This window comes from Homo sapiens, chromosome 5 (genome assembly GCF_000001405.40).
Source record: "Homo sapiens chromosome 5, GRCh38.p14 Primary Assembly".
Lineage (NCBI taxonomy): Eukaryota > Metazoa > Chordata > Mammalia > Primates > Hominidae > Homo > Homo sapiens.
The window spans coordinates 30,090,611-30,116,938 of NC_000005.10; the positions used below are offsets into that span (position 1 = coordinate 30,090,611).

The 26,328-nt window shown below is 33.7% G+C and overlaps 2 long non-coding RNA genes across 2 annotated transcripts, besides 1 other annotated feature; one reads left to right on the top strand and one right to left on the bottom strand.

The window, feature by feature from the left end:
• Positions 1-7,994: 7,994 nt before the first annotated feature.
• On the bottom strand, positions 7,995-11,777 carry LOC105374707 (uncharacterized). The gene is made up of 3 exons (XR_925891.2): positions 11,225-11,777; positions 10,838-10,924; positions 7,995-8,441 (listed from the first exon to the last, which is right to left on the bottom strand). It is a non-coding gene; the product is annotated as an uncharacterized LOC105374707 (long non-coding RNA).
• Positions 11,778-11,847: 70 nt separating this feature from the next.
• Positions 11,848-15,810, top strand: LOC124901160 (uncharacterized). The gene is made up of 2 exons (XR_007059098.1): positions 11,848-11,915; positions 15,543-15,810. It is a non-coding gene; the product is annotated as an uncharacterized LOC124901160 (long non-coding RNA).
• Positions 15,542-16,043: an enhancer, noted in NCBI's record as "H3K4me1 hESC enhancer chr5:30106259-30106760 (GRCh37/hg19 assembly coordinates)". NCBI's record gives its function as "activates a minimal SCP1, AML or CMV promoter by ChIP-STARR-seq in naive H9 embryonic stem cells {active_cell/tissue: H9 hESC(naive)}" and the evidence as "EXISTENCE:reporter gene assay evidence [ECO:0000049][PMID:30033119]".

Genomic DNA, 26,328 nt, shown 5'->3' on the forward strand with positions numbered 1-26,328 from the left:
TATAAATTATATCTTAATAACTAAAATTGTTTTTTACTTTGGTTAAGTGTTTTTCATTGCAACTGTATGACTAAATTCCAATGGATCCTACAACTCATAATTTACTAGGGATTATCAATGCAGAAAAAGAAAATTCTGAATATTTCAAGTGTTTTAATTTAGTATACATAAAAAATACCTTTCTTTATTTGCATCTATGGATAGTATCCATCTAGCTTTTCAATTCAAATAATTGGTATCTCTCCTGCTCTTTTGGCCCAAACCACTTGTGCTCTCTTTCTGGCCTGTAGTGTTAAAACACCTGAGTTTCTGAGAAAAGCTCTTTGATCCTTCACATAAGTATTTTTTGACTGAGCCTCTAGATGATTATATAAATTCTTTCATGGTGAGACAGAAATTGACTCATTTTACCTGCAGCTTTGTCCATAATATTCATTGAATTTTAAGTAGCAAAAAGTCAATTTGATATCACCAGAATGTACATCTTTAAAAATATTCTAATTTTTAAAAATAGTCACCTATTTTTAATCAACAAATATTTTCCACTAGAATCAATCACATTATTATTTGAGAAAGTATATCTGAGTAGATCAAAGGTTAACCTATATTCAAGATATTCATGTCATTAATGACAGCATGGTACAGTAGAAAGAGTGCCTTGAGATGTCACATTCTTAGGTTAAAGTTTTGTCTTGCTCCTTAACTAGGTAGCCTTGAGTAATGACCTCTCTCTAAACTCTAGTAACCTACAAAGTAAGAGGTTTTTTTTTTTACCATCTTATCTCTAAAATACTTTTTAGAAAATACTTTTTAGAATTTGCCTTTTATTTACTACAATAGAATTTTAGTATGTTAACTAAAATACGATTTTGAAAACAAATATAACAAACTAAAGACTAGAAATAGTTTTCTCTTTATACTTACTAAGCTAACAATAAACCGGAAAATAATGAGGACAGTTGATCAAATAAATTATTGATTTTTTTTCTCCAATTAACGTTAGGTAGATTCTGTTCATCCACTCTCCTAAATGAATATGAGTATGAATTCCCAGAGGTATTTTTAATAAGATTTAAGGGAAAGGTTTCTATATCATTACACTAACAGGATTTACATTAGTTGACAGCTACAACACATAAGTTAAATAAAACTTTATTGATATGTTAAAATATGCGATTTATGCAAAGTACAACGAACAACGGATTTTTTAGAAAGAAAAAAATAATAAATATTTGCTCTGAACCAAATATTTGTATTTACTAGAAAAATATTCTTGTCTGATTTTTATTTAATTTTTGAATGTATGCTTTGTAACAGCAGTAAGCAAATGAATTAAATGTCAAAATTCAGTCATTGTAAAATAGGTGCTAATATATATATAATATGTATATATATCTAAAATAGAGTGTCTGCATGGATAGTTAAGAGCTTAAGAAGAAAACTAAAGAGAATATGAGAAGACCTGAGTACTAATCCTGAGTCTGTTATTAATAAACAGTTTTTTTATGTAAATTATATGTTCCTTTTCTCCACTTTTGGTTGCCTTATTATTAAAAATAATGTTTCCAAAGTCCCCTGCAAACTATAAAGTACATAATAGTTGAAAACTGAGGAGAATCCAATTGCCAAGTAAGAGTAATTTACATAGAAAATAGCTTAACACAGAAAGCATTTTGTTCACTAAATGTCCATGTATTAGTTGCTGTCTCCTTTTGCTTTTCAGCAATTTAGTCAAACATTATTCATGCTTTTATGTTAAATGTTATTATCAGCACATTTTACAAAGCAACACAAAACAACCCTAGCAACACTCTTCAGTGAAATGCTCGTGAAAGCAAATCAGTAGTCTTCATTTCTCATAGACCCATAAAATAATGTACTTCACACATTCAATGAAACACTTTTCTATTGAGCTCAATAAGCTATCAGATTGCTAAGAGTTTTCTTGAGTTAAAATCAAGAAAAGCACATGGCTACAGTTCAAGAAAATGCATTTATAACAAAAGAGGAAAAGTCTTTTGACACTGGCAATTGTTATACTATAAAACCAAAGGCCAGCCTTCTGCACATCAGCTGAGAATGAGATGGTAAAAGTGGCAAGCTTTACCATTAAGTAGCAGACTCATCAATTGACAAAAGAAATAGAGGCTATGTGGTTGATAGCTCTTGTATTGCAGCTGATACACTTTGGATGAGTGATGCAGAAAGAGTCAACTGTCCTCCCTAGAATATGAGGAGCCAAATATAGGTAGAGATGAGATGGTGAGTAATTTGACATATGTGAATTATCATTTACATATGACATATCTTTTTCCTTACAAAGCCATGACGTGGATAACTGTTAGTCTGTAAATCTTCTATTCAAATAAAACCAGTTCCATAATCTGTAACAGTTTTCGAAACATTTCAAGTTATACATCACCTAACTTGAAATTTAGAAAGAAAATAAAATGACTACCATTCTTAAATGAACATAGACATGTAGGTATTTATAATCTTTTCGAGTAAATTCATATATAAAATGTGTACCATATATGTATATACACATATATAATAAATTATACATATACATGCAATTGAAGGTTTTTTATTACCTCATGAGTATAAGGTCTTTGTTTTTTGCTCAAAAATTAGTGATGGTTTCTTCAGGGGACCAAAGAACAGGAAAGAGTATAATGCTGATTTTATCCATATTAAAATCTTGTTTATCAATTATCTTAAAGCTAAATTAGAAAAAGGGATGTAAATGTCAAAAGTATAACAGCGAATTGGTTATATTATAAAAGAAACACCCACTCTTTAACAGTAATACCACTGAAATGTTCATGAAACAGATAAAGTGGTGTTCCTTTATAATTTTCTGCAATGTGCCCTACTTGTCAATCATTGACAAAAAAAAAAGGGCGTATGAATGTGCCAATCACTACAGCACTGACATTTTCAGAGCTACATTAAAAAATTTCCTCACATAATCACAGACACTAAGTTTGTGAATAACTATATTGGTTATATCATTATCTGCTCATTACTACCATATATTATATTTTATATATGGACTCTTTCATACTTGCAAAACAAACCAAAAGTTTTCAAAAGTATGACCACAATAGGGGTTATTGCAATATTTATATTGAAGGTATAGGGAGAAATGCCTAACATAGGTGAAATTCACCTTGTTTTAGTATGGTATTGGTCTTCTTTGACAATGTTTTGAGTATTGAGGCTTGTTGTTTTCGAATTAGGTAAATTGAAGCAACAATGACATTTTATGATAAAGAAAGCAAGAAGCAATGTAAGAAAAATAATTTATTTACATGTGCATCATAATTGGTAAAGCACTTTATATATACATTATTTATTTATTACCAAAATTATGTGAGATAGTAAGATAACTTTTGATCTTCTCCATTTCACAGATTAGGAACCTCATGCTTTGCAAGGTTGTGATTCTAAGATTTAAAATCTGTTAATTAGTAGATCCAACCATAAGCATTTTTTCCTATTGTTCTCTCCACTTCTTCACTATTCTCCAAATCCCATCGACAATTCAAATCAGCTAAAGTGCTCTGTGTTTATAATGGTGCAGAAACTCTCTCCCAGACTAATTAAATAAGAAACTCTTGGGGTGAGACCTAGTGATGATTTATTTAAAGCTCCACAGGTGATTCATACATTAAGGACAGGGTTAAGAACCGGGCCTTTATACCAACTATTCTGACACCCAATTTAGTGCTCTTTCTACCTTCCCACAATGCTTTTGATTAACAACACCTAAAAATAAAATAAGCCTACCAGGTCCATAAATGCAGCCTTTGACATAAGATAGCACAATGGCAAACATTATCAGTTTTAAAGGCAACAGTCTGGATTTCAGTATCTGTTTGAGGACTTACTAACTGTGTGAACTTAGATGAGTATTCAACTGCTATTATTGAATGAGTTCATGCATGTTTAGATCAGTGCTTGGCAAACAAATAAATATTAACAAAACAACACAATCACGCTGTTATGGACTAAATGTTCTTGTGCCTCTAAAATTCATATGTTGAAGACATTACCCTCAATAAAATGTTACAGTATTTGGAGGTGGAGCCTTTGATATGTAATTTGTTTTGGATGAACTCATGATAGTGAGGCTTCTGTGATGGTGTCAGTGTCCTTGTAAGAAGACGAGAGACCAGATCGCTCTCTTTTCTCCATGTGATGATACACTGAGAAGGCAGTCATCTTTAAAATAGGAAAGGGGCCCTCACTAGAATCTCATCATTTTGGCACCTGATCTCAGTCTTCCAGGCTCCAGAACTGTGAGAAAGACATTTCTGTTAGGTTAACCATTCGGGCTATGGTATTCTCTTATGGCAACCTGAGCTGGTTAATATGCATACTTATCATTCAATAAATATAGCTTTGAACATACTTGAAAATAATTTAAAGTCCTAGTTATAAACCAGAAGAATATCTGGACAGTCTAAAATTCTTAAGTTTACAACAGATCACAATAGGAGATAAGGAGGATTTTAAAATGTCCCTAAAAAGAAAGTAAATCCTTCCAATTTTACACTTAAGGAATCAATTTCTTTTCTGCCATCGCATTTATCTGTAAATTACAAGCCTCTGCTCATGTACCTACTGCTCTCTGAAGGCTGCTTTGCTCTTCATGTTTATCTCAGACTCTGTGTAATTATGGAACTGTGAGTGGTGTTTGCTTATGTGAAAAGCAGAGTTTTAAATTCTTTGTTAGAAGAACTGCATGATTAACGAATAATAACTGAGTAATAGGGCCACAACTGAGAATCATATGTTTAGAGATATTTATTTGAAACATTATATTTTAAAGATGACTTTTGAATGATCAATACATCATTCACAGGAAATAATCAAAGGATTATTCATAAGAAAGTAAAACTGCATTTTTACTTATTTATTTATCAATTTTTTTTTAAGTTCCAGGGTACATGTGTAGGATGAGCATGTTTGTTACATAGGTAAATGTGTGCCACGGTGGTTTGCTGCATAGATCAACCCGTCACCCAGGTATTAAGCCCAACACACATTAGCTGTTTTTCCTGATGCTCTCCCTCCTCCTCCTCCCTGACAGGCCCCAGCGTGTGTTGTTCCCAACAATGTGTCCAGACTACGTACACGGAAAACACATTTACTAATGTTTTAAACGAATGAAGGTTATTTCAATGTTATACAACGTAGTGGTTAATTTACAATTAAAATTCAACATCTTTGCTCTAAAACCTATGGACAATTTTCTACTAATTAGAATTTCCTCTCTAGCCTCTCTGTCTCTTCTCAGAAACTCCTTTCCCTTACTCTATTCTCCAACTTCAAAGTTATCTGTAAGAACATCACTTTTCATTTTAGAACTTTATTTTTAACCTCAACTTTAAACTTTATTTTTTTATTTTTTCACACAGAAAAATCTAACATCTACACTCCTTCTAACATCCACATATGTGCTCAAGGCTCACTTTTTCACCTCTCAAGTTTCACTAAAAAAATCTACTAAACACATAGCCAGCTATTTTTTAGAATCAAAGAAAAATAATAAGACAGGTGAAATTATAGTTTTATTTTGACTTATAAGTATGCATCCCAATCAGGGACCATGATCTTCTATTTGTTATTGTTTTTATTTGTTTGATTGGATATGGCATTATCTACGCAGAGATAACAAAGTTGAAATTCAATGTTTATAGGGTAGTCAATGAATGCTTCTCTGGAAAAATTATTTATAAAATGTCTGGTGCATGATCAATATGGAACAAATGCTAATAATAAAATTATTTATTGTGTGTGCTTGTTGAAGTTGCTAATCTGAGATCAGATTGGGCATTTTATTTCTGTTCAGCCATGTGTCCATGCTGTGTAAGTTTCCCTGACTAGCTTTGTAGAGTCCCCTCAAGCTTAGTCAGGAAGCAGCAATACTGCATGTTTAGCTTTTGGCCAGTCATGGTCACAGCTGGAAAGATGAGAACTCTAAAGGCTGCTGCTTTCAAGCTTTGTTGAGTTGCTTGTAAAATAAGTAATGTGTTCTTGGAAGCTAATGTAGCCAGTAACTATCACTCACCCAATAAGGTGCTATACTATTTGCCAGTATCTCCCTTTCTAAATTCAGAGTCATCATGTGCTTTCTTTGGAGAAATTACTGACAGGTATCTTTGTCTTCATTCCATCATGTCTCATCTTCAGAAAACACTGAAAAATTTTCTAATATTTAACTATGTAAATGGTACCCCTTCAATTTAACAAGATGAATGCCTCTGATACTTTTATGTATTTTTGGTTATTTTAGCAGGAATCTGAAAGATGAACAAATTAGAAGTCTGCATTCCGTAGAAATTTTGCATTTCATAGAAAGTTTGCAAAGGTTTACTAAACACAAATTTTTCTTATAGTCAATGGATTGACAAATGTATATAAAAATATTGAAAATTGGAAGACTGCAAGGAAGTCACAGGCCATTAAAGAGATACTTTAAATAACCAAGAATAGTCATACATAGCACCAGCTAAATTAAATGGGTTTAATATGCTAGTTTCTGATGAATATCTTAAATTTAACACAAGGCATTCTTTTGGGGGTCATAAGGCATGGTTCTTAGTACTTTAAAGAAGTATAGTGATTTAACATAGATTTATATTTATTTATAATCTAGTACATAAAATAAAAAAGATTTAAATCATTATGAGGCAAAAGTTATATGGTGTTTTAAATTCTATGGCTGTCATAGAAAATACGTTTTGCCTAGTTTGAGTGATTAGGTAAAGCTCCTAGAGACGGTAATATTTATGACAAAACTAAATTAGAGGTAAGACGTAAGCAGGAGGAGATAAGTGAAATTTCGATGAGGAAAACTGCAAAAGCAAAGACAGAGTCAAGTATGGGCCAAGAATGATTGAACAAAAAGTCTGTGAAACATGCTAAAATTTAGGTTATACAAAAAATATGTGAAGAGCTTATAGAAAGATATGTTGGATGACACAAATAGAACTGGAAAAGCTATTAGCTGTCTCTTTGACAACCTGTGATAAGTTCAACATTAGCAACAAATAACATATACTGAATTGCTACTATAAAATTTGATTCAGAAGTGGGGTTCCAAAAGATTAGCTGGATTCAGTGTAAAAGCCTGCAGACAAAACAGGGTATGCACAGAGAGAAAAGAGAACAAAAATAAAACCATGAATCCTCTCAGTTAAAAGGAAAATTTGAAAATATTTGGAGAAATATAATATTAAGAAAAGAATAAGTATAGAACCAAGCAGTCGGAACAGGACCTCATTACAAATGAAACTATTTGTGTGGAATATTTTGAAAAATACTTCAAAGTAAGTATAATGGCAGGATTTAGAAAGTAAGTGCAAAACCTCTATTTTAAAAGAATTCGGTACATATAGAACAGGAATTCTTATGATTGAAGTAAAACATGTGATTTCTTAAAAAGAAGAACTCATTTAAAAACATAATTTAAAAATAAATAAATGGGATTAATTTTATATTAGATGTGGCAAATGGGAGGCTAAAGGAATTAAAGCTTTCAGAATTTTAGAAAAGCAAAAGTCTTCAAATTTAAAACTGTAATTGGTGAACAGGAGAAATGAAAATCAATCCTTGCCTATAGAAATTCTAAGGAGACTCCAGTAAACCAAAAATATATAAAATATAGAATGCCTACAAATAAATGATAACTTCACCTACTCTCCAAAGCAACTTGACCAGAAGATCATTACAGTAATAATTTCAAAGTGCAGAAAAATATCTAATGATTAGTACAGAATTTTATTCCTAGCTAATTTACATTTCATAAAGAGAAGCAAAATAAAGATACTTGAAGATATACAAAAACTAAAAGCTTAGTATATATAACCTGTCAATAAAAGAAATAAAAATAAATGTACTTCAGCCAGCAGAAAAAGTAAACTCTGAGGAAAAGCACATGAAACAATTTAAAAAGTAAATATGAAAATTAATAAATATGTAGGTAAATTGAACACATTTTTAAATTGTTTTATTACATTTAAAGTTTTGGAATACATGTGCAGAACATACAGGTTTGTTACATAGGTATACACGTGCCATGGTGGTTTGCTGCTCCCATCAACCCGTCATCTATATTAGGTATTTCCCCTAATGCTCTCCCTCCCCAAGCCTGCCACCCCCCGATAGGCCCCGGTGTGTGATATTCCCCTCCTTGTGTCCGTGTGTTCTCATGGTTGAACTTCCACTTATGAATGAGAACATGCGGTGTTTAGTTTTCTGTTCTTCTGTTAGTTTGATGAGAATGATGGTTTCCAACTTCATTAATGTCCCTGCAAAGGACATAAACTCGTCCTTTTTTTTGGCTGCAAAGTATTCCGTGGTGTATATGTGCCACATTTTCTTTATTCAGTCTATCATTGATGGATGTTTCGGTTGGTTCCAAGTCTTTGCTAAGAAACAGAAAAACAATGAAACTAAACTAAACATATACTTTTAATTATAGCATTTCTATTCACATAAATGAAATAATAATGCTGACAGTGCATATAGGAGGAAATATAGGTTTTGGTGAGGAAAAAGATGTTTAGATGATTAAGAAACTTTTAAAATTTGACAAATGAAAGATACAGCATGTGGTTCAGTACTAACAATAAGAATTGTAAAATAGCAATCCCAATACATTTGAGAATCATTATAACAATCTACAATGTTCAACAACAAAAAAGCAATAATAGTATTAATAAATCTAATATTTAAAGATCTACTTAATTTGCAGAATCAATTCTTATGTCAAAACACATTCATTTTTCAATCCTTTTAAAATTTTTTCAATAGATTTTAGTTTTAGTATGTTTCTGTGTTTATTATGTCTATTCAAACATCTCTCATAGTGTCAAAGTACAATCTTTGTCAAAAGAAGCTTATTACCAAAAGAAATATGATGAGGAAATATGACTTTTCTATATGTCAAGGAAATGTGATGGTAAAAACAAACACAATTTGTTATTTTAAGCATTTCATTTCAAATGGAAGTCTTTCTGCTGGAGAAATTATTTGTTTTACTCTTAGGCAGTTGTGCACCCTGCGGAGAATGAATGCATAGAGAATGTAACCTTTCTCGGGTCTTCATTTTAATCACACTCTTGCCTAATCTCCATTTTATTCCTCGGAGACATTAGTCATCCTTAAAGAATGCCTTCTTGTAATAAAAATGCACTGCATTGGGTTTAATGTGTTGACTTTTGCAGATATTTTTGTTGGGAATATTGTATTCAAGAATAATGTAAACAGAGTACTTTATAATCGTGTTTATATTATGAATGATGCCAATGAAGGTAGATCACGCAACTGCCATCTGCAGGTTTTGCAGACATCTCACACATCTGCTATTGCTTCATGAAAGCCATGACATGTACACATAACTTCCAAGGCTTTTGATTATTCACACAAGATATGATCGATTAGCTGCTAAGAAAGTGGGTTTAAAAAACTTTTCCTGAGGGAAGCAGAGCAAGAAAAGAGCATTTTCTCAACTATCAATATATCTAGGGGCCACAATATTTAAGGAAACGCAGGCTAGAGTACAAGAAAAGAACTACTGTTACTTCTGACATTGATTTTTTTCAAGTAGACATAAATATTTGACCTTCACCCTCATTGACAATATTTCTATTTCTGTTCAGGTTAAATTTTTATCTTTCCCAAGATAAATCAGTTGGTGGGAGCATCTGACAAAGCATTTGCATCATCCTACTTAATCTCTCTAAAGAAGGCATCACAGTGCTTAAGTCAAATGCTTAGCCCGTTTACAGAGAGGATTCAGAAGAAAAGTAGTTTATGATTCTGTGTGTGAGAGAGAGAGAGACAGAGAGAGAGGGAGAGAGAGAGAGAGAAAGAGAAAGAGAGAGAGAGACAGAGAGAGAATTGGAAGAAAAGATGCGAGAGGTAAGAGAGAGAATATGCATGTGAATTTAATAGCACAAACAACACGCTGTAACATTCATTAGAAGATTATACTAGAGTTCACTTCGGGTTCTGTTTGAAAAATTTCTCTAAAAGAAGATATTTGTTTCCTAAGTCTGTGAACTCAAGCTCCCAATCACTGAACTCTGAGAGTTTTGTTACAGGAACATTTCTCTGGGACTCAGGAAATCTCACAGAGCTCCTTAATCACAATGTGTTTTTTACTTATGTGTTTGTTTCCTGTTGCAGTTGTAACAAATTACCGCAAACATAGTTCTTAAAACAGCATAAATTTATTCTGTTTCTGTTCTGGAGGCCAGAAGTGTGAAATCTGTTCCACTGTGTCAAAGCCGAGGTGTCAGCAGGGCTGGTTTCTTCAGGAGACTCTAGGGCAGACTCCATCTCCTTGGCTTTCCAGCTGGTAGTGGCTGCCTGTATCCTTTGGCTAAGGACACTTTCTCTATCTTCAAAGCACAAAACTCCAATCTCTGCTTCCATCATCATATTGCCTCTTCCTCTCCAGCCCTTCTCTGATCGCCTGCTTCTTTACTTTAAGTACTCCTGTGATTGCATCATATGATTGCATCATACCCACCTGGTAACCCAAAATTATCACCCAAACTCAAGATCATCAACTTAATCTCATATGCAAAATTTCTTTTGCCATATAAGGTAACATATTAAGATGTGGATATTTGGGGGAGCCATGATTAGCTATACTTTAGTATAGCCAAAATCACTGGTTTAGAAAGTACGTTTTTTATTTTCATAGGTAGCAGATTCAATATAAACCAAGTGTTTATTCTGCACTTAGGATGCAATAAAAAAGGCACGGACACCTGGACATGTATGTTTTGTACTTATGTAGTACTGTGTAACTTACATAAATATATGCATTAGAAGGAAAGGAATACAAATCAACTAGCTCAGCTCAGCATTAGAAATCTTGACAAAGAAGAGCAAATTAAGCCTAAAAGAAGAAGAAATATTAAAAATTAGAATGAAACTCTACAAAACTGAGAAAAAATAGAGAAAGTAAATACAAGCAAAAGATACTTTTTAAAACATCGATAAAATTTATAAACCTGTAGCCAGGCTAATAAAGACAAAAGTTGAAGAGACACAAATTACAAATACCAAAAATATAAAAAGACTTCTCTATTCTTACTTGTACTTTGAAAGGCTAACAAGTGAATAGTATAGGTAACACTAAGCACAAAAACTTAAAAATACAGATATGATGGACAAATACTTTGAATGACACACCTACCAAAATTCACATAAGGAGAAATAGATACTATCGGTAGCTCTTTATCTACAGAAAATTATCAATAATCGAATATCTTCCAAAAAGAGAGCATGAATCTCAAATTTCACTGATGAATTCTTTAAAACATTTAACATGAAAACATATTTATTTTTTGTAATCTTCTCAAAAAATAAAAGCAAAGGGATCAATCCTTATTCATTCTATGGGCCAACATTACCCAGATAAAGTTATTAGAAGAAAGAAAACTATGAATTGGTATCTCACAGAAAATACAGGCAAAAATTCTCAACACATCCAACAAAGTGTGAAATGAATTATATAACAAGACCAAGTGGGATTTATTCCAGATATTCAAGCCTGTTTTAGTATTTACACTATATCAATGTAATCTACCATGTCAACACATTTAAGAAGAAAAATCATATTATTATATCCATTGAAGAAAGCATGTGGCAAAATACAACATCCACTAACGATCTCATGACAAACTTTCACAAATATTCCAATTGAGAAAAACATTTCTAGCAGTACTCCTTAAAACTGCCTAGGTCATCAAAACCAGGGAACCTTTGAAAAACTGTCACAGAAGAGAAGACAAAGGAGACATGATGACTAAATGGAATGTGGAATCCTGGATGGGATTCTGGGACAGAAAAAGAACATTACGTAAAATTAAGGAAATCTGAATAAAGTAGGCATTATAGTTCATCTTTATATATCAGTATTAGTTCATTAATTGTGACAAGTATGCCATCCTAATATGAAGTACTAAGAGTAGGAAAAACTGAATGTGAGGAATATGCAAATTCTCTGTACTACGTATCACAACTTTTCTGTAAATCATAAGCTAAAGTTATATTAAAACTTTAAAAAGTTTATTTAAAAACAACCATCAAAAATTTGAATGTGTTCATATAATTCTCTCAATTTTTTTTCAAAAGAATACAATTTCTGCCACAAATATAACTGATGTTATTTTGGGGGATGTGGAGGATACTCATTAATTTAGATTATAAGGGGGAGAGTTTAAAAAGTATTAAATAGTAGTATTACAACTTACAAATATAATTTTGGTCCGTTGCTATGATTGTTGAAAAATCAGCTTACAATTTAGCCTTTAAAATATTTGTCCTTATGAAAAAGAACTGGAAGATTTGTCCTCTGCTATAACATTTTTTAACCTGAAAATTTCCTTGCTTTTTACATTAATATTTTAAATTATTTTAACCCTAAACAGATTCAATGAGTGTATTACTATTAAAGTAACATACCTTATTTCAAATAATTCTTTTTAGCACATAAAAGTGTGTGAGTGTGTATTTTGGCAGAACATATATTTTTGCCAGCAGATTCTATGAATTACTCATAGTTTTGAAATGTAGCAACTCATCGAATAAGGAAGAAGTCATATAAAAATACTACTTCTTCTCTGAGGATGGAGCCAAGTAGCTATCTTCCACATGCTCCATGAAAAAGTAAATAGTTTAGCTATGGAGAAATTATTACTTCATTTCATTTATTCTCCTCTCTTCAATCCAAAAGGCACTAAGTGAATTCTTTCTTACATACTCAAAGGCAGTGTGTGTATGTGTGTGTGTGTGTGTGTGTGTGTGTGTGCATGCATGCATATATGTATTTATTTCAGACATTGGAGTGACTTTGACTTTGTTTCCATTTGATACCATATAAATAAAATATATTTAAAAATACTAAGCAGTACTATTTTATTGAGAAGGACACATAAGCTGCTTACGTGAACGTTGTAGATATTGAAGACAGGAAGCTAGCATTGTGGTTTTTCTCATTTTCCAACATAACTTTTCAAGAAGTTAGGAAATGAGGATTGATATCTTTAAAATCAAAGTTGAATCATCTCATGACTTAATCCTCTCAGCATAATCCAGCAACAATTGTTGTCCCTGCCTATTTTAAAATATTCTCAGTGATTATAAAATGCATTACCTTACAAAGAAGCAAATGTATCTTTAGACATTTCTGCAAGTTAGAAAATTTCTCGTAAATCCTGAACTGTGTTATCTTTCTCTTAGTCTCTCATTCCTTTGTCTATGCTTCTGGGCTGCATTTTAAAAAAGAAAAAGAAGAAAATTCTAACCTTTTGTGTCTTGGTGTTCACTGCAATTCATCATCTTGATAACTGTCCGCAGAACGCTTTCCGAAGTGTCCGTGTCTCTAAGGAGGTTAAGGACAGAAAATAGATGTATGAAATATGCTATAAATTCTGAAAATTATGAGAGTGTTTTTCAAAGAGGAGATTTTGAAGATGACTAATATTATTCTTGGTTTAAGTTCATTGTAGTAATGTCACTCTTCAAGAAATAATACTGAGGTAACAAATTATCTACAGTTTTAAAGTCCTATGGGCACATTTAACAATGCCCATTTAGTTATTTAAAAATAACTAAAATGTAGGCTATTTCTTGCACATAAGTGTGAGTTTATTGTCAAATAAATAGCCTATATTTTAGTTATCTTTATAAAATATTGGAAGATAAAACAAATATGACATATTTTTAAATGATAAATGTATAACATATTTGTTAAATAATACATTTGCTAAATTTTAGCTAACATATCATAATCAGTATATTTGTTTTTCAGAAAACATATGAAAATACTAACTTTGAAGCACTTTAGCTTTTTTTTTTTTCTTTTTTAAAATGTGTCTTAACAGGGTGTGGTGGTGCGTGCCAGTAATCCCAGCTACTCGGGAGGCTGAGGCAGGATAATTGCCTGAACCCGGGAGACAGAGGTTGCAGTGTGCTGAGATTATGCCACTGCACTCCAGCCTGGGTGAAAGAACAAGACTCCATCTCAGGAAAAAAAAGAAAAAAAGAAAGGGTCTTGTTTATTTGGCCTTTTTCTCTTCCATATATGTATATATATATATATATGTCATATATAGATTGAATATATTTTTAGAGTTTTGCAAATTTAACAACTTCATTAGTTTCTCCACGTTTTACTTTTCTTAATTTTATTTATCTGCAATTTAGGGTAATAACATCCACAGTAATTTGTCACATAGCAGTTATTTTTCTCAAACTTGAAAACTTTATTAGAGGCAAACTGCATACTTAAAACAGAAATTTAAAGTTGAACAAAGAAAGAAAGAAAAAAATTTTGGTGTGACCTGTTCTACAAAACATTAGGGATTAATTTTTACTTTCACATCATAAACTTTGTATCTGGGCAGAGGAATTCATTGTGTTGCAGGTTAAGCAACATTAAATTTTAAAACACCACAATGATTTCATCCTATGAGCATTTGTAAAACTTTTATATTTTAGCCCAGTTGCATATTTAATGGCTTATACTCTACTAGGCAGCAGCAGCATTATGAAACTTCTGAATAATTGAAGTCTATGAGAATGACATATAGGAATGTTATTAGGATTTTTCATTTTTTATTACAGTCAATTAGACATTGATATGCTAATAACTTTTCAGGTTGTGCATTTATCTGCTTAAAAGAGCAGGCAGGGAAAAAATTATCTGTGTTCTAAGCCATAGACTATAGAAATATTCACAACCAAAATTTCAAAGATCCTGTTTACTCAGCAGATTAAGGGAACTCTGGTGACAAGAGTGGCAAATGTTTTAGCTGTTATTCACTAAACCTCTTAAATAACATTAATGAATGCAACATCTAAATTACTGGTCCTAGTAAATCTGTACTTTTCTAGAAATTTATGCCTTCTCAGGTAAAACACAAGCATATCACTTCAAGGCAAAATTTGGGGCTCTCAGGGTTTTATTCTGTTTGCAATTGTAGTTTGCAAAAACTGTGTATCAGTATTGGGTAATTGCTGATGAATTAGCTAACTATTTACATCTTTAAAGTTTGTAGAAATAATTGGCATTTATACATCAGTGCTTATCCATCAGGTCATATTATGATCTGGCTGTCTTGAAATAGAGTCCTTTCTGGCCATCTTGAAATCGGTTCCTAGTGATTTAAAAGTCTGAGACCCACATTGTGTTTTCTTGATTTCTTTCCCTGTTCTTGACTCAACCCTCACTGGATTAGGCTGGCCTATCCACTCATTGTATCTCCTCTCTGTCAGCCACAAAGAAAGTCACACATTTTAGCTGATTTTTAAAGCCATTCCTCAGAGTTTCTCCTACTCTCCCTACTCTCCCATTTGGTCAACGACAGGGATGGGAGGCAGGGAAATTCTGGGCTGAAGAGGGCAGGTCCCTGGTGAGGGCCCCACCCTCAAGCTGAAAAGCCTGAAACAGCAGCCCAAAGTGAGAAGTTAACATCCCAGTTTTCTCACTCAAATGTTGCCTTTTCCAGAACCACCCATGGCCCACTCCATGCCCTCATCTTGTGCCCGTGAAAACTGCAGGCTCAGCCAGCAAAGGCAGGAGAAGCAGCTGGACATCAGAGAGAAGTGCCTTACTTCAGAGGGACAGCTCGACGGTGTAAATTTCAAGAAGAATCCCAGGAGACAGCTGGACTTTGAGGGAAGATTACCTTCCTTCTCTGTCTGCTTTTCAGCTCCTCTTCCCTCTGAGAGCCACGTCCAACAGCAATAAAATCCCCCACATTTACCATCCTCCAATTCGTTTGTGCTACTTCATTTCTCCTGGATGCTTGACAACAGCTCAGGTGCAGTGAGTGTGGAGGCAAAAGGCTGCCACACTGACCCTTTGCCCTCGCTGGCAGAAGGTAGCCGCCTTATGCTAAAAGACATAGGGTCCACTGAGCTGTTAACACTTAAGCCATCCACAGAGGGCAGAGCTAAAAGAGTACTGTGACAGTTCCTCTGGGGCTTCGGGGGTCGTGGGCACCCCCGCCCCGCTGATGCTGCTGTGGGGCCGGTACGGAATTCACTCCTGCATGTGCCCAAGAGTGCTTCCCCAGCTCCTCCTGTACCTGCTCACCTGTGCTCCCCCTCCCACGAGGGGTGGAGCGCAGCGGGTTCAAGGGAGTGGAATTTGCCCCTGCTGGCGCCAACACAGTTGGCTTGTTCCAGCACCCATGCACTCCAGTTCCCACCCACAAAGGGGTCAGGGAACTATCTGGCTTCGTCACCACAGGCTTTGCTTCACACTTACTCTGAACTCGGATTCACACATCTACTCCAATGTCTTTGATTCTTGTTTTCCAAATGGGCCGGCTCTGAAAGTTAATCATTCACAATGACATATCTGAACCCATCTGTCCTCAACTCTACTGCTATTATAGATTTTTTTGAAACAATAGTAATCAACATTTATTATGTACTTTTTACTGTACTAAATGCTATAACTTCATTAGTGAACAAGCTTAACACCAAGAAGTCTGTGATCTTGAGAAGATCAGACAAATAAAAGTAATTAGGATTCAGTGTGTTAAGTAGCCATGGAATTCGATCAAATCCAGTCATAATGAAGTAAGGAGAGGTTTGTCTAAGCAACTTGTTACATAAGTGAAGAAGAATGAGAACCAGGCACAGTGGCTCATACCTATAATCCCAACACCTTTGGAGGCTGAGGCCAAAGATCACTTGAGGCCAAGAGTTTGAGACCACCTTGGGCAACATAGTGAGACTTGTCTCTATAAAAAGTACAAAAATAAAAAATTAGCTGAATGTGGTGGTGCATGCCTATTGTCCCAGCTACTTGGGAGACTGAAGTAGGATGGTCACCTGAGCCACAGACTTCAAGGGTACAGTGAGTTATGATGACACGACTGCACTCCAGACAGTGACAGAGCAAGACCCCATCTCTAAAAATAATTATTTTTAAGTAATAAAAAAAAGAAAGACTTGTAGTTATCCAAGGAAAAAGGATGGGTGTATTAGTTTTTTAGGGCTGCTGTAACAAAATATTACAAACTGGGCAGCTTATACAATAAAAATTTATTTTCTCGTAGTTCTGAGGTTAAAAAGCCAAGATCAAGGTGTTGGCAAGTTTTGTGTCTTTTGAGGCCCCTCTCCTTGGCTTGTAGATAGCCACCTTCTTGCTATGTGCTTATAAGATCATTTCTCTGTGAATGCATCCCTGGAATCTCTTTCTCTTATAGGAACATCAGTCATATTAGATTAAAAACTATCTCTCTACTGGTGTTATTTTAACTTAGTCTCCTTATCCTTATCCCAAAATGTGGTCACATTCTGAAGTACTAAGGATTAAGACCTTCACATATGAAGTTTGCAGGGTACACAATTCAATTCATAACAATGAGCTTGGGGTAGAAAGTTTAATTCAATCAGAAAATGCAGTGCATAAAAAGGCCCCAAGGAAAGAGAATGTAGATGATTGCATAAAATTTATTATGGCTAGAGAGTAGATTTGGAGAGATCCAGGAAATGCAAGTGATGGTTTAAGGCAAGCTGGACCAGATTATAAAGTTTTTAAAGGCAAGTCGTTACTGAAATCCCTATTCTTCTCTTTTTCCTGGCACACAGTCAGACTTTCTCTCTCATGCTCTTTGTTAGATGTTGTTGTGGAACTGACTTCCAGCCAACACAATATGAATAAAATGCATAAGTATTATTTCTAAGCTTTTAAAAAATGGTGGTAGCTCATTTATCTACTTCCTTTCTTCCTTCCTTCCTTCTTTTCTTTTCTTTCTTTCCTTCCTCCCTTCCTTCGTTTCCTTCATTTCTGATGGCTAGAATCAGGTTATGAAGGCAATGTAGTACATGCCAGAATCAAAAGAGTGAAGGAATGTGAATTAGTATATAGAAGGGAACTGTCTAAAGAATCAGTAATTTCCACGTGGCTGATCTATAAACAACAACAAAAAAACCTCTTCTGTTATTGAGCCATTGGCGTTTTGGGGTGTTTATTTGACACTATATCCTACTCCACCCATATGTATCTATATAATTATTCAATTTTCTAAAGACATTTTTAAAAATGTCTTTAGGAGTTTTAGAAAATTTAAAGGAGGAGTGACCTCATCAGTTCTATGAATTAGAAACTAGCCACAGTGGGAAGTGTGGATTAAAGGGATATGACACCACAGAAAAATTGCAGTCTCAGTAATCATCATGAAATTTTAGTAGCCTGACCCAGTGAGTGGGGATTTATAAACAGTGAATAGAATGATGAAATATTTTATTATAGAATCTATTTTCTGGCAACAAATTATTTATAATGTGGGAGAAATTCTAGAAGGAAAGAAGGATTCTAGGGTAATATCCAAGTGTCTACATCCGCAATTTGTTGAATTAGATCTTGAGTAATGAGAGCTGGAGAAGTAGGCATAATGTATTCAATTTTGAGCTAATTTTAGTGTCCACAGATCTTCTCTGTGGCGATCTGAGTGAGTTTGAGATACAGGTCTGTTTTCCATAAACTATCAAGAAGAAAAATACATATATAGTGTAATAAATTATAACTAATATTTTCTATATTACTCAAGGTTCTTTTGGGAAACAGAAGCAATAGGAGATAGATGATAGACAGACAGACAGATGATAGATAGATAGATAGATAGATAGATAGATAGATAGATAGATAGATAGAAGCTTTGTTCTGGGAATTGACTCACATGTTTATGGAGACCAAGACGTCCTACACTGTACCATCTGTAAGCTACTGAACTAGGAAAGTCAGTGATGTAATTTATCCTGTGTCTAAAATCCTGAGAACCAGGAGATCCAATTGCTCTGGAGCTTGAAGGCCCAAGAACGAGGAGCTTTGTTGTCAGAGGGCAGGAGAAAACGGGCGTGTTCAAGCGTAAGAAGAGAGAGAGAATTTGCTCCTTCTTCAGCTTTTTGTTCTTTCTGAGTACTCAATTGACTAGATGATACCCAACCCATCAGTGAAGTGGGATCTTTTTTATTCAGTCTGCTGATTCAAGTGCCCATCTCTCCTGAAAACACCCTAATGGACACACCCAGAAATAACATTTTACCAGTTATTGGAGCATCCCTTAGTCTACCCAAATTAACACATAAAATTAACTATTATGTACACATACGAAATTTATGGAAAAACTTACCTTTGCAACACTCTACCAAAAGTAAACAGTACCTTCATTATTCTTGCCTCTGTGCTTTTCGGTGTGTTTGTTTATGTGTGTGTCTGCATGTGTGTTTCTGTGTGCACATATAATTCAGATTGCCTAGGGAAATTATTTGAAAACATTTGTTTGATTTTATTTGATATGAATTTAATTAATCTGTATTATATTTGAAATTTTCTAAATAATCAATATTTTCACATAACGGGTATTCTATTCCATAATATGTTATACACCTCAATTTCTTTAGGTCTTATTTAATGTATTTTAATCAATTTCTGTAATATTTTCCATAATGGTCTTGTACACTTCTGTTAGATTCATTTATATTATCATTGCTGTTATAGCAAATGGCATGTGTGACTTTTAATAATATTTAATTATTTTGGTTTATAGAAATGCAGTTATTCTTTATGTTAATTTTGCAACCAGAATCTATGCTGAACTCTCCAATTCTAATAATTTATGTATAGCATTTTATGAGTTTTTATGGAAACAATCACATTGCTTGTAAATGATAACATTTTTTCAAACTTTTCCAATCTTTGTATCTTATATCTCATTCACCTTTGGGTAGCATTTCTAATGCAATATTAAATACAGTTAGAAATCCTTGCTTTGCTCTTGATCTTGAATTATCATTCTTTTAATATCTCATGATTAAGTAAGATATTTGCTCCAGATTTTTGTGGATACCTATATTGTTGGAAAATACCCCTAGCTGCTGATGAAAACTTAACTTTCCCTGCTGCATGGGAATGAAGTTTTACCATGTTTTCTATAATCTTGCAGTTAATTAAGCTATGTAACAAATCCCAGCAAATAAGCTGATTAAATGCGATGTGTATAATTTCAGGATTGTCTATTAAAATTTCTCGAGGAAAATAAACTTTTCCACACTCTTTGTCCCATCCCAAACACTTTTTAAGGGGTGACCATACAACCTAGACTGTCTAGAACAATAATGACTTACACCTGGCATCCTAGAAACATTACTAATAGTTTTCCCACTCTTAGAGATGTCTTATTTTGAATAATACATTATATGGTCATTCTATTTAAAAGCCACATGATGAGAGGTAAAGCAACTCAACACTGAGGTCTCTAAAGGAGAGCTGCTCAACAATGTGAATCCATGCTGAACTGTTAAATGAGTGAAAAATAAACATATTATTTTTAAATCTGTCATGCAATTTTATTTTCCTACAAGATTATCAGGATATGGAAATGTCCTTTGATTGGTAGATTAAAATTTTTGTCACAGATGGTTTGAAATTTTATGAAAATATTATATTTTTCTGTTTATTAGGTAAACAGGAATTATTTTTCTTTTAATGTAATTAAATTACATTACTTAATTTTATACATTAAATCAACCTTGTATTTCTGGAATTAATCCAACTTTATTTCCAGGTTCATGATTCATACTGCAAGTCTTAATGTAAGAGTTTTACCTTCATAAACATGAATGAGATTAACATGTAATTTTCGTTTGGTAATGTCTTTATAGGCTTTACGTCAAGGTTGTGCTTGTATTCTAAAATAAGTTGAAGGCCCTGGAATAGTTTGAGTAGGATTACAATTATTTATTTCTTAAGTTTCCAATTATGTTTAAATCTCCATTATATCTTCCTCTTTGATCCACAAGTTTTAGGTTTCATGCTCAAATATCCGTATTTTTCCAGACATCTCTTTATTATTGATTTCTAATTTAATTGTGTTGTATTTGGGGTATGTTGTTAACATTTTGAATTTTGTTTAAGCTTCATTCACCAAACATTTATGAGGTCAATATTCTTAACTGGTCCAGTGTGCTTGAAAATAATACATATTCTTCACTGTGCTGTTTTAATGTATTATCATGTCACTCTTGTTATTTGTTATTTACACATTCTGTGTCATTTTTGAACTTTTGTCTGCTTGATGTATCAATTACTGATAGAGCTATATTTGATGAATTCACAGTAATAGAATATATTTTTATTTCCTTCCATGGCATTGTCAATTGCTGTTTTATACACACGCATGCACACACACACACACACACACACACGCACACACACTCTCTCTCCATAAGGGATAGGTAAGTTGCCATGTAATTTTTCTCAACTCATTAAAAATTATTTAACCAACTTCCTCTGGTTTCTAGCACTCTAATTTTCCTTTTGGGTGAGCCATCTTTTCTTTCTCGGTGTTCAACAAGTCTTCTCTATATCTTTGGTATTATATGTTTGAATTTGTATGGGTCTAAATATGATTTCCTGTGTATTTCTGTGTTTCTCAGAGAAGGAGAAATGAATATAGTTTGAATGGCACTTTCTGAATCTGTAGATTTTGCAATTTCAGGAATACTATCATTCATTATTCCATTATTCACTCTTTTTCCTTTTTACTCTGAAACTCTTAAATATATAGAGAATCTTCTTATTCTGTTCTCCATATTTCTTATCCTCTTTCATGTTTGTAATATTTTTGTCTATCTGTGGCGACTTTGTGATTTTCCCCTCCCCTTGTGTTTTATTTAGAGTTCTAGCAGGAGAATAGATGCTATAGTGGATGCCTTGAGTAGGATAGTGTTTGACTAACAGAGTAAATGCTTATGATACCTTGGAAGGGCTGTGATGACAAAGGTCAGTGATGCTGTCAATGGCTTTTAGAATATCCAAAAATGTAGCAATTACTAGGAACTTTAGCCAATTATCTCACCTACATGAAACCCTAATGAAGAAGACTCAGGATGACATCTCTGGGAAGAGGCAGGATGATGCAGCTTTTGATCTTAGCCAATAAGATATTAAAACGACAAATTCTCAGGGGACACCACCACCAAAGGAAGTACTCTATTATCTAAGCTCTATCATCTACTAGATTTGCTTTTATTCTCTCCTAGCAAAGATCTTAGAAAGGCAAAAGTAGTCCTTAGTATCCACTAACAATGTATATCCAGATGATGCTTACGTTGGCATATTATTTTCTCGAATATTTTATGATTCATTTGTAACATGAGCTTATTATTTTGGACCCTTATTGGAGGAAAATTTGAGGCCAGGGTTGAAGGTAGGATATTGTAGAGAGAAATTGCTCCTGTTTCTAACGGTCATATGGGAGCAATTCCACTTTAAATAAAACATACACAAAAGATTGCCTGACATCCAGATAGTGTGAATTTGGTAAGCAAAACTGTTGTGTGGATGACTTGCAATTACGACATCTTAAGAAAGCAATAGTTCCTCTCCTTAGAGCCAAAGTTTAGACAGACAATTTTTCTTGCAATCTTGAACTATGTGATTGGAGATAAGGCTGGGTAATTATGGTTCTAGTTAACCATTACAGTAAAGATTAAGTCTTCTTGGATCCAAGTTTACTGGGGCAAAGGGTTTCTTGTGAGCTTTTACACATTTCAGTAGTCTCCAGGCATTTTGTAAAAATAAGCTGAAAGTTAATAAAATTTATCAAATGTCATCAAGCCAAAAGTTTCATGCTCCTCTGACCTCAAATGCCCCTTTTATTTAGTTCATCTTCTCATTTAGCTTCTCGATATTCTATATTTCCTTTCCAAGTCATCAATTAACTTACATTTAGCTTCTCGATATTCTATATTTCCTTTCCAAGTCATCAATTAACTTACAAGTATTTTATCCAACATTCTTTACATGTTTTCAGCATGATGATGGGTACTTAATTTACCGAATTGCTACCAAAAGAAATCTATAGGTAAGTTTTTAAGTAAAGAAAAATTATACACCCCGATTTGTCATAAAATTGTCAAGGCATCTTATGATAGTAAAACTAGTTTCATCAAGATAATGAAAATTAAATGACATACAAAAATATTTTATTTACTAAGACAGATAAAATTTTTAGACAGAAGTACAAATGCTTATTTATACAAAAAGTATGTATGTGCTTGGCAGGCAGCCAACAACACTAACTTCTTGAATTTGACTCTCCACTTTCCTTAATATCAGTATTTGTTGATTAATGCTAGTCAAACACATAAGCATATTCAATGATTATTTAAAAAACCTTTTACATACATGAAAAAACACATAAGCATGTTCAATGATTGTTTAAAAAATATTTTACACATGCGAGGCTGGGTGCGGTGGTCCACGCCTGTAATTCCAGCGCTTTGGGAGGCCAAGGTGGGTGGATCACCTGAGGTCAGGAGTTCGACACTCCCCTGACCAACATGGAGAAACCCCATCTCTACTAAAAATACAAAAAAATTAGCCGGGCATTGTGGTGCATGCCTGTAATCCCAGCTACTTGGGAGGCTGAGGCAGGAGAATCACTTGAACCCAGGTGGCAGAGGTTGCGGTGAGCCGAGATCACACCATTGCACTCCAGCCTAGGCAACAAGAGCAAAACTCCACCTAAAAACAAAAAACAAAACAAAACAAAAATTACACATGTGAAAAAACACATAAGCATATTCAACGATTGTTTAAAAAATGTTTTACACGTGTGAAAATATTAATGGAATCCTCAACTTTTGAATCCAAAACGGTGAGGTTCTCTTGATACTAAGCCTTACTCTTTCTCCTCAGCTAATTGCACAGGGTCTGCAATGAATTGATGGGTGAGTAAAATTACTTTCCACTTAAAGCAAGTTAAATTCCACTCAAAACAATTAAAATTTAAGAACAAAAACATCTCACATAATAAAATGTATAAAAGTAGAGCTGGTTAAATCCAGGCTTCATGACATTATCTAAGACCCAGATTATTTTAATCTTTTCATTTTGTTTTAATGATCATGTCCTTATTTTTCTCAAGCTAGCTCATCTCATGTTCCTAAGATGACTTTGCCACTTCCAGATGTCACATTTAAATATGACAAAGTTTAAAGTAGGAAGAAATTACAGGTCTCTTTTTTGAGAATGAGAAAACCTTTCCTAGAATTTCCCGGAGGAGTTTCTTTCTGATGTCATGGCAAGGTTTGTACTCTTGCAGATATGTTTTTACCATTCACTGCCAAGGTAATCATATTCGCATTATGTGCTTAACCTAATTAGGATTTACAACTGAGCATTGCACTGAGGGATGCAATTGTACCAAAGTATGAAAACATTTTAAAAATAGTGTTGATGTTAATGCATAAACGAAGAGAAAATATGTTTATTGGCAGATAACAGTAGAAAAATAAAATTATCAGTAGCATAAAATTTTAGAAGTTTTCAGTGAAGATTCTCTTCAATTATCTTTTCTCACACTGGAAATTGTTCAAGTTTGGTAGTAGCTGTAAAAGTAATTCATTACGTAGTATTTTCTATAGGCCTATCGTCATTTATATACAATTTTCTTATGTAAACTTCAGGACAATTATATGAAATGTCCATTAGAATTGCCTACACTTTGTATATTAGGAAATAAGCTTCAGAGAGACTAAGCAACCTTTTCAAGGGCATAACAAATAAATGGAAACTTGAGTTTCTTGGCCCTCAAAAACAGTTTCTTTATCTACAGTTACAGCTTTCCAAATGTATATAACAGTACATATTTAAGTACAGAAATGAATAACTAATAGTTCTGAAGTGAATAACATGTTTAAAGTATTTCAAACCAGCACTCATTCATTGCAACAGATATCAATTTTTTCTAATGGCTAGAACCATCTAATTTGTATCTGAACAGGTGAAATTATCACATGTCAGTAAATGCTGTTCTTAATGAAAATGAAAATGAAATATACACTAGCTGTGCTTAAATTCTGGAGGTTTCATACTATGTGATGATTTTAATGTTCTGCAGGATGCAGATTCTAGGGTGCTTCCTAACTTGATGACCTCTCTTTCAGCTGATCTTCTTGATGAAGAAATTTTCCAAAATAGAAAAATTATGAACAACTAAGCGTTTATGTGCTCATGTGTTCGCCCTCATTATTTCTGTGTAGTAAGGTATGTCAATGAAAGATCAAAAAAGGAGAATGCCTGTAATAGAGAAAAGGAGAGAGAGTGCAGATCCTAAGCAATATAATTACATATATGTTTCTGAAGGAGTATCCTATCTTCTCTTTGGTTCCACTGATGATTGAGATTTTCCAGTTGGTGTTATGGAAACAGTTAAGCTTGCTCATTAAAAATGCCTGCTGATCTTCATCTTAGAAATAAATAAAAGGGCTTAGAATTTTTTTCTTAGACTATTTCAAGTATTAGCCCACATTTTCTTAATATCATGTAGAAGAGGAGCAGCTTATAAAACTACTGATAACTTCTGCATTAAGGGGGTGAAAACTGCAGATTTTATCAATGACCACTGATAGGGTTTGGCTGTGTCCCCACCCAAGTCTCGCCTTGAATTGTAATAATCCCCAAGAGTTAAGGGTGGGGCCAGATGAACATAGCTGAATCATGGGGGCGGTTCTCCCATACTGTTCTCATGGTAGTGAATATGTCTCCCAAGATCTGATGGTTTTATGAATGGGAGTTCACCTGCACAAGCTCTCTTGCCTGCCGCTGTGTAAGATGTGACTTTGCTCCTCATTTACCTTCTGCCATGATACTGAGGCCTCCCTAGCCGTGTGGAACTGTGACTCAGTTAAACTCTTTTCTTTATAAATTACCAAGTCTTGGGTATGTCTTTACTAGCAGTGTGAGAATGAACTAATACAACCACAAAATAGAACCAAATAGACACAAATAAAATATTTTATTCTGAGTTTCTTTCCTGCTTATCAATTTTCAATTCTCTTTTTTTTTGTTTGGTTCTTTTTGGTTTCAATAGCTTTGAAAAGGAAAACTCCTCTTGGCTTCTTAGGTGTGATTTATAACAAACATTAAGTTTAAAATTAGTTTTTTGTTGAAATTCCCTGAGAGTTAAGTCCCCTTAGGAAATTAGTACCCTTAGTTGAACCTTCATGGTTGGTAGCAGATGAATTATGGCCCAAAGAAAGACATTCATTAAGAGAAAGTTGAGAAGGATTGGGAAAATCAAGTCGAAGTAAGAAAAATATTCTGATTCAATTTGTTCAGCCAATTTCTAAAAAGATGTGTTTTCCCCTCCACACCAGAAAATGCATTTACTTTGGGGAAAAAAAATAACTCAAAAGGAAGAACATAGTTCTTTAACAGTCACATGCCTTCTTTATTTTCCTTGGGATAAAGTGAGCAGGCTGCCCTAG